General features: G+C 45.9%; 1 long non-coding RNA gene across 1 annotated transcript, besides 1 other annotated feature; it reads right to left on the reverse strand.

The window, feature by feature from the left end:
• Window positions 1–553: 553 nt before the first annotated feature.
• Window positions 554–12550, reverse strand: LOC101928107 (uncharacterized). Its single transcript, NR_109961.1, has 3 exons — window positions 12462–12550; window positions 3236–3473; window positions 554–1579 (listed from the first exon to the last, which is right to left on the reverse strand). It is a non-coding gene; the product is annotated as an uncharacterized LOC101928107 (long non-coding RNA).
• Window positions 4222–4756: an enhancer, noted in NCBI's record as "H3K4me1 hESC enhancer chr21:34487678-34488212 (GRCh37/hg19 assembly coordinates)". NCBI's record gives its function as "activates a minimal SCP1, AML or CMV promoter by ChIP-STARR-seq in primed H9 embryonic stem cells {active_cell/tissue: H9 hESC(primed)}" and the evidence as "EXISTENCE:reporter gene assay evidence [ECO:0000049][PMID:30033119]".
• Window positions 12551–15750: the final 3200 nt, after the last annotated feature.

The raw sequence follows: 15750 nt of genomic DNA on the forward strand, positions 1-15750 counted from the left end.
CGGGGACAGAGGGAGACAAGTCCAGGCATCCCAGAGAGCAGGAATCCCAGAGCAAAGGCCAGGAGTGGGACCACAGGCAGAGTAAGGGGCCCAGGTGGCTGGTGCACCCGCCTGAGGATCGGATGTCTCTCTGGGGCATTGTGTCTACTTAAAGCGCTTGGCTCAGGTTTTCCATCAGGCCCAGAAGAGCCATTTTGGGGCAGCACAGAGACCTCAGAGGAATGAGCTCAACTGAGCGGCTGTAGTTTGCAAAAGCTGCCGACCAGACAAGCTTCACCCTTCAGACCAAAAAGAAAAATCCCCTCTGGAGCCTGAATTGTTCGGCAAAAAAGATAAACGTAGAAGCCAGTCCCAGATCTTAGAGCACCTCAATGGGACATGTGGATCATTTTCTGTAGTTAACAAGGAACCCTTAAAAGAATAAGCCATTCTTGTTACGGCTTTTGAATTGTGATGGCTTTTGCCTGCAATATCTGTATGTTTATGGCAAAATCATTATTTTGAGATGAACTATCTGGATAACTGTCGGAGAGAAACTGCAGGCTGCATTTCACCACTGATGCTCTGTTTTATGCATGTGTTGCATGTATTCCCACCAGTTGGTGGTAAACTTTTGCATTTTTCAAGCCTGTCAGAGGACCGACCCACTTTCTGTGCAGTGTCAGAAGCTCAAGAGAGAAGCCAGAAGAAAAAGACACAGTAGCCTGTAGCCTTCGGTGCACATCTGCAAAGAATGCATGCCTATTGCCACTATTGCATTCTGTCCGGGGCTCTATCATTCATCTTCTAAGCCAAACTTCTGCCAAGTCCTCTCATTTGTCCATCGAACATTTCCGTACCGGCTGTTTTTCCATCTTACCTCGCCAAAGTTGTTTATATTCTCCCTGAGTGACAGAGCAAACAAAAGCTGGGCAAAAGCAAACAAATAGGGTCTTCTGATAATTGAACCACTTTTGAATCTTTCATTGACAACATCTCCACACCGAAGAACACCTGCCATAGGTATCAAGCATAAATGCTTCTTCATCAATGGTTGCTTGCATCGAAAAGGGCTCAGAAAGATAGGACTCCTGACTGTTCCCTCAGAAAACGTTTGTGTTTCAGCTCATCTGGGATTGGAGAGCCCATTTCTTCCTGATGTGTGTCACTTGGAGGCCTCCAACCTGCAAACATCAGGATGGCTGCTTCCCTGCAAAATTAGGCAGCTGCAGGTTGACTTGAGTCTGTGTCTCCCGATCCAGAATGTGGGACGATGCAATTGAATAAGTGTGGGATGCTTTCTTCATAGCATAATGCTACACGATGACTTCCTACAGACACACACACTGAGAGAGACCAAGGGAGGATAAATTTGGGATAAAAATGCCACAATCTCATGGCCTCAACACCAAACTGGTGCTGATCCAATTCTTCCCGAAATGAAATGTGATGTTTCTGAATTCCTTCTGGCTGCCGCTGAAAGCCCCCACTTTTCCTGGTGACTGTGGGAGGCTGCGATGTGGTGGGGGTGGGGCACGGAGTACTGGGCGCTAAGCTCTCTCCTGGCTTCACATAAAGGAAGCAAAATCAAAATCCAAGCCTGAAAAAAAAGAAAAAAAGAAAACTAAATTTAATTGGCTAGGAAACAGGATTCCTGGGGCCTCTGCTTTCCCAGCTTCCAGAGAAGGATTTAGGCTGGGACACTTCCCCGCCCTCAGGACAAAAAGAAAAAAAAAAAGGATTAAATTCGGGTTGGGTCTGGCTAGTACAAATTGCATGCAGAGTATACAGTTGCTTTGCATATTGCATGTGCTTTCATGGAGAGGGAAAACGGGGGAAGAGGGAGGGCAGGGACACTAAAGAGGGGAAAAAACTAAAAACAACTTGCTGTTTTCATATGGTCGGATAGAACTGTTTTGTCTTTGTAACTGTGCAGAATGTCAATGGTAGGCACCGTGTCGTGACAAGATTTTTTTTTTTTAAGTTAAGCTAAGCTCACACCCGAGCTGTAGCCCCCCGAGGTACTGCAGCTTTAATTGTGTTCAGTATGATCTACAGAACAATATGTCTTGATAAATCTGAATGGCAACCCAGCGCACGGTTCCCCTTGGCATTGCTGCAAAGCCAGGCCTCGCTTTAGTGAACCCGTTCAGGAATGTGGGTTAATTCGCCGACCCTTTTTACCCCCACAGCTCTGTTTTTGTGAGGTTGGCAGAAACTGACACGTTTTCTTTTGCTTAATTAAGTTGTTCAGTAGAAGGCTGGTCAAACAGTTGCATCTACGTGGGGAGTCTGGAGATGCACAGAAAGCCGTGGGCGTTTCCAACATAAAAAGGGGGATTCTGTTATTGTTTGGGTGTAGACGGGTCATTTTTTCAAAGTTACTGCTGCCTGAGTGACCACAACCCTGTGCGCAGCCCTGAAAGGACATTAAAGCTGCTTAAATACAACTACCTTCGGTTTACTTTTTAAAAGAGAGAGAGAGAGAAAGAGGGAAAGAACAAGCAGGAGAGAAACGAAGCGGTCCCATTTATGTAGCATTTTATTTCTTTCCGGACTTTTTTTTTTTTTTTAAGGCAAAGAGTGGGCTCATTTGCATAAGAGATGCCCATACATTATGAATTACTGCTAGTATGATCAAACTCTCTTTCCAATCAGTAAAACAAAACTGGTACCATACCCATAGAAATTGCACTGGCCTTCTGAACAGAGGAGTGGGATCTAATCACCCTTATGCCAGACATTGGGGTTAGGAAAATGTCTAAAATCTCCATTGATGAAATTCCCGCTTTCGTTCCTTGGTGATATTATGACAACCACACACAGTATCAGTCTCATGGATTCTCAAAGGAACTGAGGGCCTGATTGGAGGCCTCCTCCATCACGTCTCTGTCCCTTTTTGAAGCCTCCTATATTTCTAATTCAAATCACCTTTATCATTGATATGCAGATCCCCCCGATTTTCTGTGGATATTTGGTCCCAGCAAGAGTTTTTCTCATTGCACGTACTGTGTGATATATTTAACCGGAGGCAGGTGGAGGCACTGGCACCTGGGCTTTGGGATCCTAGTGCTAACAATGAATGGCCTTGGTCTACTGTATGCCCTGAGTTGTTTCTATTGATGCCACTGTGCCTCAGTTTATCCATAACAGCAGATGCTCATTGTGGGTACTTAACAGGCACCTAATACATACATTTCTGAGTTTAAGCTGCCCCTTTCTCCCTTGGCAATAAAGCAATAATTAGAAAACTCACTGATTCCGCAGCACCTGGCACCGTCACTGTGCTGATAATCAACACCATGATTTTCAGCAGTTATGAAGCCCGGGTGCCCATTGGTGAAGCATCAGGCTTGCAGGGCTGCTCAAGGGATGTTTGTACATACTTGGTCTTGCAGAGAGCCATTATGCCTGTTTGGAAGCCAGGCACTCCAATTTTCCCCCAGGTCCCAGAACTGCAGCTTTTGGAAAGCCCAAAGATCAGCCTCTTCCTTCTAGAGAGAGAAAAGACTGCAGGGTCAAACATTTCAAGAGACTTCACCATGATTTTTCACTTCTCTTAATATACAAGAAACAGTAGGCAATTATTTGACTGATGTTAGTTGCATGAATGGCAAAATGATTCTCAGGCCAAAGAACAATCCATTTTGGAGTATAAATGACTTGGATCAGCAGTCTACACTGATATCAGCTGTTTGTTTGTTTTTTAAAGTCTCACTATGTCACCCAGGCTGGAGTGCAACGGCATGATCATGGCTCACTGCAGCCTCGATCTCCTGGACTCAAGCCATCCTCCCACCTCAGCCTCCTTAGTAGCTGGGACTACTACAGGCATTCACCACCACACCTGGCTAAAGTTTTTTACTTTTTATAGAGATGTGGTCTTGCTAAATGGTTGCCCAGGTTGGTCTTGACTCCTAGGCTCAATCGATCCTCCCACCTCGGCCTTCCAAAGTGCTGGGATTACAGGCCACCATGCCCAGCCCGGTTTTTCATTACAAGCAATACCTGCTTACTCCTCAGATTTTGCCAGAGTTGATTATAGATTTATACTCAAGACACCAAGCTCCTATATTTAGGTTGTGTATATTCAGGTTCCCAAAAATACACAAGAAGTTGCCCAGATTTCAAGGCGCTTCCAACCTCTAAGTAGAGAGGATGGGGAGATTTCGAAGACCTGTTTTGCACAACCATTCCCAGATGACTTATTACTCTGAAGAACCAACGCCTGGCTGCACAAAGAAATGCAAAATGCTTCCCCCGGTTCTGGTGGTCGATGTTTAAGGACCACACAGGACACCAGTCTGCAGTGTCCCTATCTTACTTCTCCCTCACTGATGGCTCGAGGAAGACCCCAGAATCTGGGTCCGGTCCACCGATCTTCACGGTCTTAGAGCCACGATACTTAGGTCACCTGCCTTACTTTCAAAAAGGCCAAACTCAAAACTACACACAAGTCTCACATACACTTTTAAATCGCAGCTGACGGGCTGGTCTTAGCACCTCTTAAAGAGAGAAGTTGTGGGAAGTGAGAGAAGGCCTAAGCAGATGGGAGCCGAGATGGCCGGGCGGCAAGTGGCTGCCGGAGTCGTGCCACCTGGCTGTCTTCCCACAGTCTGGAGGGGGTGTGTGTGGCTGGCAGTTCCATTCCTGCTTGAGGTGGCGGGCCCTCTCCCCCTTTCCAATTCCCTGACAGCCCGGGCAGATTTTCCTTTGGCTTTTGAAAATCCAGGACATATTATTCCTCAAAGTCGCCAAGTTCCAGCTGCTAGAGAGAGCCAGCCTTTCGCTCTGTTGCCCCACCATCGAGCCTACATCTTTACACCCAGGGAAACAGAAGGCCTTCCTCCATGCGGGCAAGCCCACAAGAGTTCGGATGCTGCCGCTCGGGTCCTGCAGACAGAGGGGAGGATTCACAAGGGCTGGCCAGGAGCCATCCCACTAGCCCTGGCACTTGCAGCTCCACATGGAGCTCTGCGGCTCTTCAGGACAAAGAGGAGTGTTTTTATCAGCCCAACGTTCTGCTGACAAATGCATAATAAACTGACAGAAAGCGACCAAGCAGCATTTCAAAACCCCCAGTTACAGGGGAGGCCAAGCCTGAGTGGAGATGGTCACTTTCTGCAGGTGTTCGGCCAGTGTCCCTGCATTTGCATGCATTTGCATATACTGTCAAACAGTTGGCTGACAGAAAGTCTGAGGAGGTCTGGACACAGCCCAAACCTGTCAGTGGCTTTCTCCTTGCCAGTCAAGGTTGGCTGTGGCTGCAATTAAGGCAGGAAACGAATACTTCTGACATTGCAATATACCCAGCCACAGCTGGGCGAAGTTAAATGGAAAAGTGTGCTTTATTTAGAAAGACAAGATGCATGCTGGAAAAAAAAAGATGGGGAAGGCCAAGAGTGGTAAATGCTCAGAAAGTGACACTCTACACTCATTCTGCAAAAGGAAACAAATATTTTTCAGTCCTTCCAGGTTGCTGTGCTGTGGTGTTATTTGTTGTTGTTGTTTTGTTGTTGTTTGGGGTGAGTGAGCAGATTTCCCCACTGAGTGAGGCCAATTCAGCATGTGAGAGGAGCTTGCCAGACACTACACCTTTTATCTTCAGAGTATCATCTCAGGAAGCAGGGAGGAAGCTCATCCCCAAACCGCATTTCCGTGACACACGTGCTACCCCATAAGGCTCCACTGTTCTGTTCAGTGTTGGCAAATAGGTAGCCATGGCTTGGAGGGGGTGAGAAAATTGGAGGGGGCCGAGCACAAGCGTCACGTTGTCCCCCCACCACCCCGCACAAGGGTTACAGCTCATATTAGCATATGGATTGCCATGGGAAAGAAACAAAATCAGAGCCTTCACTACTGTAAGAGTGAATGGCCTCAAGAGATGGAGGGGGCGGGGAAGGAAGAAAGCCAAAGAGAAAGGTTGTTGTTGTTCTTGCTGTTTTTAAGAACACATGAGATTTATATTTTTGGAGGCCTGTGTCCTTCTGAGATGTTGTTTTACAGATTCTTTAAGCGAGACCTAACAATTTATTAAATACTTCATCTCTAAACAGTGGTGGGCACTAGAGTTTCATGAGCAGCAAACAATAGATTCTGTTTATTCGCCAACAATACAGACACTGTTTAGCTCCGGACTGCAAGTGGCTGAGCCATCTGGCTCATATCTCCACAGTAAAACATTGTCCGTGACACAAAAAATGACTACATCCCCAGGACAAACTAGTGTGACCTCTAAATAAAGCCTTCCTCTGAAGCTATGATATCACACTGCACAGGGGACACCAGCACAATTGAATCTGGTCACCAAAAGCCCAAGTGAGATAGGACTATGTAAATGGAATTTTATAGGAGACTTTTTGTCCTCCGTGGCAAACCATCCAGATCCGTCCACAGCACTGAAACATCTTTTTCATTCACCCCTGGGACAACAGTGTGGTTCTATTTGGCGATTGGCAGTCCTCTTTCTCCCGCGCCCTACCCAGGAAGCACACGTCCGTGTTCCCGAGGCAGCACCTGCAGCCTTTGCTTCCAACAACTTTTCACTGATGGGGGCCCCACCTGCACCAGCCTTTTTGCTGATATTTCAGAAACAAGCGGCCCTTTCTCCTCCCTGCCAGGGAGAAGGCCCAAGTTTGCCAGCTTCTTCACAAATAGCCAAACAAGTCACTCTCAGCCTTGCGCCACCTGAATGCCCGCTTCACGAGGCAAACAAGTATACACACACACACACAGACATACACACACAGACACACACACACACTCCAGCACCCTGTCCAAGAAAGGGGCCATTTCAATGGAAGAAGTGTCATTCTCCGGAAAAGACCCAATTCAGTCTCCACGACCAAGGCATTTGTGTGGCTGTTTGGTGGGAAAATTTCATTACAGAAATTGAGACATGATGAAGAACAGACCAAAAAGCTGGCTCGGCTTAAGCCTTCCACCTGTTCCAATTCCTGTTTGTTTTGTTTTTCAGAGCGAGAAACCCTAACCCACCCCTATGCATAAAACATTTTGCACACAGGATGCTTTATAAAATACGATCCCTCAGTGATTTCCCCGTGCAAGCAGGTATTGGACCATTTTGCGGCCAGAGCCACCTGAGATATGACACACGCAGCACCTTGTTGGAGATGGACAGGGGAGGGTGAATTCCTACGTGAACTTTGCCAGCCCTGTCATCTCACACAAACTACTTAACTGCTCAGCACCCATCCTCAGGTGTAAAAAAGGGATAACATTTCCTTCTTCACAGAAACTAAATTTGGAAAATAGATGAGAAATGCTTATCATAATGCCTTATATATAGTGAGGGTTTAATAAATGGAAGCTTTTACCATAATGATAACAGATAATGGTAACATTGTTTCTATGACTCCTGGAATTTCAGTGGGAAAACAGCTTCCAGAATACCAGTCACTCATTTAAATAAAAATTGACCCTTGATAATAGTAACATTTATTGGCCGGGTACAGTGGCTTATGCCTGTAATCCCAGCACTTAGGGAGGCCGAGGCGGGTGGAACACTTGAGGTCAAGAGTTCGAGACCAGCCTGGTCAACATGGTGAAACCCTGTCTCTACTAAAAATACAAAAATTAGCCAGGTTTGGTGGCAGATGCCTATAATCCCAGCTACTCAGGAGACTGAGGCAGGAGAATCGCTTGAACCCAGGAGGCGGAGGTTGCAGTGAGCAGACATTGAGCCACTGTACTCCAGCCTGGGTGACAGAGTAAGTCTCTGTCTCAAAAAAAAAAAAAAAAAGTAACATTTTTATCATTATTACCATTTAGCATTCACCCTTGCCAAATTATTTGGCAAAGTTGGATCAGAAACTGCACTGCTAGTGGGCTTATCCTCTTCCTATTTCTGAGGTAGAGCTTTCTTCATGAGGCATGAAAATGGCCAAAATTGTCTATTGTTATTTCTGTAGCAGTCATAGTCATTTGTTTTTAAAAAATGAGAATGCACAGTTGCTGTATCTTAAGTATAAAGTCATAGGGATGGCTTGATATCTTAAAATGATTTCTTTCCTTTTGCTTCAGTTCCAATTAATCCCAAGATTTTAATTGCTTGCAAATAATTTAGGAGTAATCTTTGCACTTACACTGGTGGGTTTCTAGAAATGAAGCTGTTTGGTTGAAATTATGAAAGCTGATTTTTTCCAGTTAGTTGAGAGAACACAAACTGGACCCAGAGCCTAGGAAACAACTCTTTATAAAATTGTCACAAATGCCAGCTGGGCATGGTGGCTCACACCTGTAATCCCAGCACTTTGGGAGACCAAGGCAGGCAGATCACTTGAGGTCAGGAGTCCGAGACCAGCCTGGCCAACATGGTGAAACCCCATCTCTACTAAAAATACAAAAATTAGCCGGACGTGGTGATGTGTGCCTATAATCTAAGCTACTCGGGAGGCTGAGGCAGGAGACTCGCTTGTACCCAGGAGGTGGAGGTTGCAGTGAGCCAAGATCCTGCCACTGCACTCCAGCGTGGGTGACAAAACGAGATTCTGTCTTCAAAAAAAAAAAATCACAAATGCCATATTTAACCAACTGTAAACTGAGTTATGGGCCCTTGGCAGTCCAAACTTTGTGATAGGTATGTAAATCAATTTAACAGGACATGACGATATGGCTTCAGTTACCATCTATATAACTCCTCCAGACATTTTCAGTAGAAATTTAAAGTATTCCCAGGATATCAAAGCTAGTGGAAATTTCCATATGGAAAACCTTCTAGACTTTATATTTTTGGAACAATGCAAAACACTCACTGTTTACTCACAAATCTCCACCTCTGTTTTGTTAGCTTGTTTCATTTTGGTTTTGCCTTAATGCTTAAATGTGGAAGCTGTTGCAGATATTGTATTATTTCCATCAATCCTGGTTAATTTCAGCAGGAAAACTGCTCCCAGGGTGACAGTCAACCATGCAAACAAATGCAGCCCTGGGAATCTGGGACCTATAAGAAGTCCAGCTAAGGACATATGCGAATCCAATTAAACTTAGAAATACACATTTTGGATGTGAGGGCAAGGTCAAATCCTCTCATATATTGTTGGTGGCAAAGCAAGTTAAAATAACCTTTGTAGAGAGTAATTTGATAGTCTCTACCAACATGTAAAATGTTTACACCCTCTGATCCAGGAATTCTACTTCTGGGACCATATGCTACTGAGCTATTCCTTCAAAGTGTGCAAGAACATATGTACAAGGGGGTTGATTATATTATTCCCAAAAATGAAACATGATAACCTAAGTTTCCATCAATAGAGCACTGTTTGAATAACTTACAGTGCATCGGTTAAAAAGAATGATGGGAGCCATATGTATAACATGCCCTATAACTACATCTATATCTGTATGTTTCTATATAAAATTGTCTAGAAGAGGCTGGGCACAGTGGCTCACACCTATAATCACAGCACTTTGGGAGGCCAAAGTGGTCAGATCATTGGAGCCCAGGAGTTCCAGACCAGCCTGGGCAACGTGGTAAAACCCCATCTCTACAAAAAATACAAAAATTAGCCAGGCACGGTGGAGCATGCCTGTAGTCCCAGCTACTTGGGAGGCTGAGGTGGGAGGATCACCTGAGCCCAGGAGGTCGAGGCTGCAGTGAACCATGATTGTGCCACTGCAGTCTAGCCTGGACAATGGAGTGAGAACCTGTGTCAAAAAAGTAAAAATAAAAATAGAATTATCTAGAAGAATGCATGCCATGCCATCCAGAAGATGAAAAGAGGAGGATTTCGTTTTTATAGAATTCCCTTTGGTGGCATTTGTGTTTTTTAAAACCAAAAAGTCATAATCCTTTTGGACTTTAAAGTACCATGGGTACCACAAGTTAAAAAATACATTTCCTGGTCACTGTTCATTGTCAGGCTGCTGATATTCCTTGGCATAGGGGACATGAACTTTACAAGGGAGCAGGAAAGAAGAGCTGGCCAGCAAAACTTCCTGGATGCCCACTGTGAGAAGGTGTTGACGCCAAAGGCTGAGGGAGTTACAGCCAAAGAGAAAAACTAATTCCTTCCCTTAAGGGACTTACCATGGCATAAGAAGTCTGTGGCTAAAATAAATATAATGTGGAAGTGCTGAGTGATTTGACTTACCCGATCTGTGGGGTTTTAATTGTTTATGATTTGTTGGTTCTGCAACAATACAAGCCATCTAATGTAGTGCTCAAGAGCTGAGCTCTGGGGTTCGACTATGGCCAGCTCTACACTTACTGGCTGGGGAACTTTGCCACTTAGTATCTCTGGGCTTCAGTTTCCTTCTCTGTAAAATTCTTGGATTATCTACCTCACAGGGCTGATGTAAAACAACACAGAGCCTGGTGTCTACTGCATACTAGGCACAACGAATCTAGCTATTGTTTTGTTATTGTTGCTATAATAATATTTATATTATTATTATACAACTAATTTATTTATCCACTGCCCTTCACGCAGAAGGGACAGCATGGTGTAGTCTGTATTTCTGAGGATTCAGGGACCCACCCAGGTAGGCTCGGGTTTTGAGTTACCCCCGCAACAGGAGGGTTTGTGCTTCAGCAGCCACACTCTCGGCCCACACCCCGATCTGCATTTTCAACACGGCAGACTGGGGTAGGATCTATGGCCATGGAACAAAGGCAGGTTCGCTTGTAAATGCTGAGGCAGGAACAGGCAGTTATTTAAACAAGACGGCATTAAATCTACAAAAAAAATCCCCGCCATGCCCAGAGCCAGCTCCCAGGTGACCCTGGCCCATGGGATGGCGTCTCCTGCCAAGGACACAGGGCTCCCCTCCCCGGGGCAGTTTGTGGCAAAGCTGGAGCTGGTTTCAGTGTTGAGACACCCCTCCCTCCCCCACTGCTTTCACCGGATAGTGTTTCCATTTCTTTCTGGGTTCCTCTTCCATCCTCTTGGCTCCACTCCTGCAATTCGCACATGGCCCTCATGGGCCACCGTACCCTGCACCCTACATGTCCTTTTGCAGTATCACCTGCCTTCACTTGACTGATTCTCTCACTCTTCCAATTCCAATCCCCACAAGAAGAATTTAGAGGGTCCCACTCATCTTTTCAAGTTAGGAAAACCAGTCAAAAATTATCAGCAGGTGGTATAGACAGCAGCCATTTAAGCCTATTATGGGGCGGTGGGTGGGCAGGCCATGACTGACACCTCTAGCAACCAATGAGATTGAGGAAAGAGACTCTTCTGCCTTCCAATTGGTCAGCACTGCTCTTAAAGGCCCTGAGCTGACCAGACGCTGTCCTCCCACCTCGCAGGTGGAGAGGGACCCTGGGGCCAGTGGAATGTTTGGCTCTATTTTCTGCGACTAAAATATAATTGTATTTGTCTGTGATCTAGAAAGTACATGACTTTTTTTCCCATAGCTACTTTATTATCAGCTGTAAGTCATAGCAACCATGACCCAAGTCATTTTTGTACGTTTATCTTGTTTTTATTACTAATACCAGTGCTTTACCTACATACAGTCTCTTACCTTTGACAAATTCTTTCACACATGCTAATTTGGATAATATACGAAATGAAGCGTATCTTATTCTCTCCTTTCCATAGAGAAAGAAATGAAGCTCAGAGAGGTTGAGTAATTTGCCCAAGGTCACACAGCTAGAAAAGTGAGACCGGGATTAGAACCCAATTTTTTGGACTCTTAAGTCAGCCCTCCTTACATGTTTTTGAACGTTTTATGGAGTATTCAGAAAAATATTTCCCGAATAAATGAGATCTCACTTTCCCCTCTCTCTCATGTTTTCCATTTTGGAAATCTTTACAGTTTAAGGGTCAAGATAGTAGATAAAGTTTTTTAAAAAATAAACTTTCCACAAGTGCAGAAGTAAAATTTCTTAATAAATAGGAAAAGATTCAGGACAGATAATATGAATACACTGATGAAACAATAACTTATAAGATGGGCCTGGCAAGAAGTAAAAGTGTCCCACATAAATTCTCACTGTTGAAGGAATGCCCCATCATTACAGCAGAGGGGGTCATAGACACAGGCTTTATGCCTCGTGCTGAATGTCTAACCGCACGCAGAGTTGGTGCCCCATAGACAGAGCCTCTCACCCCTCCCCAGCCTCTGTGCAATGCAGACGGCTGTGTCTGTCCTCTCTGGCCTCTGAGAAGAGATGAGTGACCCAAAAGGATAAGCTGGCTTTGGACTCTGTCCTCCTCTGGGGTATCAGAACTAGGTAAAAACCCTCCTGCATCTTGAATGTGGTGGCTCTGGGGACACTCTGGGCCCACATCCTTGCTTCTGGCCACATTTTTATGGTTCTGAAACTTATCACTGTGTGGCAGTTTGCCAGAGAATGAGGAGAACGGGGTCATGGGGTCCCCGCCATGCCCAGAGCCAGCTCCCAGGTGACCCTGGCCCTGTGAACAAAGTTCACACTAAAACAAGGAAGAGCTTTCCTGCCCCACCTCTCTTCTCATATTTGGGGCCAGTCGGGTGGGGAGAAAACTTCTTACCACATGCAGCCTGTGTACTCCGGTCTGGTGGGATAGCAAGGTCCTGCTGTGCACAGGTCAGGCCCCGGGTGTCCTCCTGCCCTCCACCCAGCCACTGACAAATAGAGCTTTCCTTTGTTTTGCCCTGTGACCAAAGTTCTTATATGCCTTAAAGGGGAAAGAGATTTTTTCTTATACAAAATCACCCAGAAGCCATTCAAGGCAAACAACTCACCCAAGGGCAATCAGGAAACTGCTGACAGAGGCCAGCCAACCAGAACCAGGGTCCCTGGGCACTGGGTGCAGAGCCCAGTACCCTGAGGAAGCTGCCATCAAAGGAGTGACTCATCCCAAATGATGTCGGCATTGACCAATGAAAACAAAAGCTGAGGTAGAGAAACTGTCAGAGGGGCCTTACCTTTCCAAGCCTGGGTACCAACACTCTGAGTCCTCATTGGATCTTCTTTTGAAGACCGACCCCTGCAGGGAGACCCTCGATGAGTAAAAAATATATAAACAAATATAAACAGGTCAGTGAGCCGACCAATCACATCTTACATCCGATGGGATAAAGCCAGTGTGTCAGGGCTGGCCATGGGCTCAAAAATGTGTGGGTAAGAATTAATGTGGAATCATGCTGGGCTTGGTGGCTCAGGCCTGTAATCCCAGCACTTTGGGAGGCCGAAGTGGGCAGATCACTTGAAGCCAGGAGTTCAAGACCCCCCTGCCCTACATGGGGGAAACCCCATCTCTACTAAAAATACAAAAATTAGCCAGGTGTGGTGGTGCAGGCCTATTAATTAATCCCAGCTACTTGGGAGGCTGAGGCAGGAGAATTGCTTGAACCTGGGAGGCAGAGGTTGCTGCAGTAAGCTGAGATTGTGCCACTGCACTCCAGCCTAGGCAACAGAGTGAGACTCTGTTTCAAAAAAAAAAAAAAAAAAGAATTAATGTGGAATCCACACATGTTGAATCAGAAAAATTTTGTACTGCCCTACCTCCCTTTAGCAAAGGAGGACAGGACAATGAAGAATCTATTGGCAAAGCAGAGAAAACAGGCTATATCGCTTGCCAAGCCCCTGGAATTCTGAGAAGGTGCTTCTCCTGTGATAGCGGTCACTGGTACGGCAAGAGGTTGACAATCCCTGGCCAAAACTCCGAAGGGGGTGGCATGTTTCTGCAGAAACGCAGCAGAGGGTCAGGTACCCCAAATGCACCCTCCTTCCTGGTAGCAAGCAGGGTCCCCCGCTGGAAGAGCTGCCTGTTTGGGGCAGGTTTTCTAAATATTAAAATGTCAGTGGCCGGGTGGAGGGCAGGAGGACACCTGGGGCCTGACCTGTGCACAGCAGGACCTTGCTACCCCACCAGACTGCAGTACACAGGCCGCATGTGGTAAGGTTTCTCCCCACCCAACTGGCCCCAAATATGAAAAGAGAGGTGGGGCAGGAAAGCTCTTCCTTGTTTTGGTGGCAGGCAAGTGTCTGTGGTCAGGAGCCATGGAGACTCGTGCCACGGACTGCGAAGCCACCCAGCCATCTGGCCCAAGCTCCTGTGACCGGAAGAGCTTGTTTTGCCCTGTTCCCCCAGAGCCAGCAGCGCAGACCACAGGGGGCTTGCATTATGTTAGCAAATGAAGAAATGCTTTAACAGGAATAGGCAAATTGTCATCTATTTTAAAGATTTACTTCTAACATAGAAACACAATGAAAATCCAGCTATATTATCCACAGAACAACTACAGGGCTTACAAAAAAAACCCTCTTTCATCATGCATGTCAGCGTGACCTGGCGTGTGAGCCCAGTGCAAGCAATGGACTATGTTTCTAGAGACCTTATGCGCAGCTGCACTCCGGGAGAGCACCTAAAGTCTAGGTCTGAGGTCTGGGGGAAGTAAGGCCCAGGCAATCCCTCTCCTGACCCTCTCTACGTTGGATCTGATGTTTCTTCCACAAACTGGGAAGTTCAGGTTCCCCAGAATCTGGCTTTGGATAAGGGGAAGCAGGAACAACTCTACTTTTATATAAAGCTGGACATTTGTCCAAAATTGCTTCCTTGTTGCTGTGCCACTTGGGGACATGAACCAAGTCAGATGAGGCTTCATTTTGGCATCAACACCCCACATCCATCTCATTCAGCCAAGGTCTGTCTGTCCTCCGGTTCCCAGTTCAGTCCCTGGGAAGAAACTGAATTATCCTCTCTTCCAAGTGTGGCCCATGCACTCATCCAGGCCACAGGATCCCCTTGAAGGCTCCCCTGCTGCCCCACACCCACCCCATCTGGAAATTACCAAGTCCTTATGGACTTTGCTCTTTATTCATTCACAAAGAATGTAAGATTCCATTTTTTTAAGAACTGAATAGAAATCCCCGGCATCACCATATCAGGGCGTCTGTTCCACGCCAACTCAGTAATTGCCCCGTTTCTAGTGCTTTTTTTTTTTCTCCACCAAAACCAACTTAAGCTGATTACTGCCATCTCAAACAACCTCACTGGGCTCCAGATATATCCATTTAATATGGCCAAGACAAGCAGCCAACTGCCGTTTTCAAAAGACGATCTGACAGATTCTATTCACTTTCAAAGTAGCTCTCCACGGCTGGAATAATTATCTTTCATTTCCCCCATTCTGACACCTTTCAATGATTTGTTGACATCTGAAGAGTTATGGGCAATCTTAGAAGAGGCAGCTGGACTTTCCGCCCCCAAAGATACAAGCACAAAAAGGATTCCCATACAGCATCTGAAATAACTCTGTTCTTTGCAAATGGATATCCAAATCTGCATGTTAATAGGGACACTTTTATCTTTAAATATAACCTCAAAAAAAGAAGGGGGGACAGTATTCATTTAACTTGTTCACCGCCAACTCAAGAAAATGCACCTTTCCCTCAAAACCAGCGTTCCCTCCCTTGACCCATAAAACCAGAAAAAATGCAGATATGCTGAGTTTTCAAACATCTCATGTTTGCTGCAGTCCTCGTTCGAGGGAGAACAGCAGGAGAAATCCGAGCAAATGGCAAGAGGCCTCCACTGTTTCATCTGCTGCCAATGAGGTTTTAAGTGAGCATCACTGGAATAATGTCTATTAATAATTTGCACTTCTATAGCCCTTTCTTGAGGGTGTCTCTAAGTGCCCTCCCACGAACACAGGCCTCGCTTGCAGGGGAAGAGCTCGACACAGGAATGAACCTCCTGCCTTTGGGCACAGTGCCTCCCAGCTCCTGTCTCAGCACAGAGGCACTTTGTCTTTAAAACTCCAGCAAAATGGGGCCTGGGAGAGGTTTTTTTTGTTTTTTGGTTTTTTTTTTTT

The sequence above is a fragment of the Homo sapiens genome, chromosome 21, assembly GCF_000001405.40.
Source record: "Homo sapiens chromosome 21, GRCh38.p14 Primary Assembly".
Classification (NCBI taxonomy): Eukaryota; Metazoa; Chordata; class Mammalia; order Primates; family Hominidae; genus Homo; species Homo sapiens.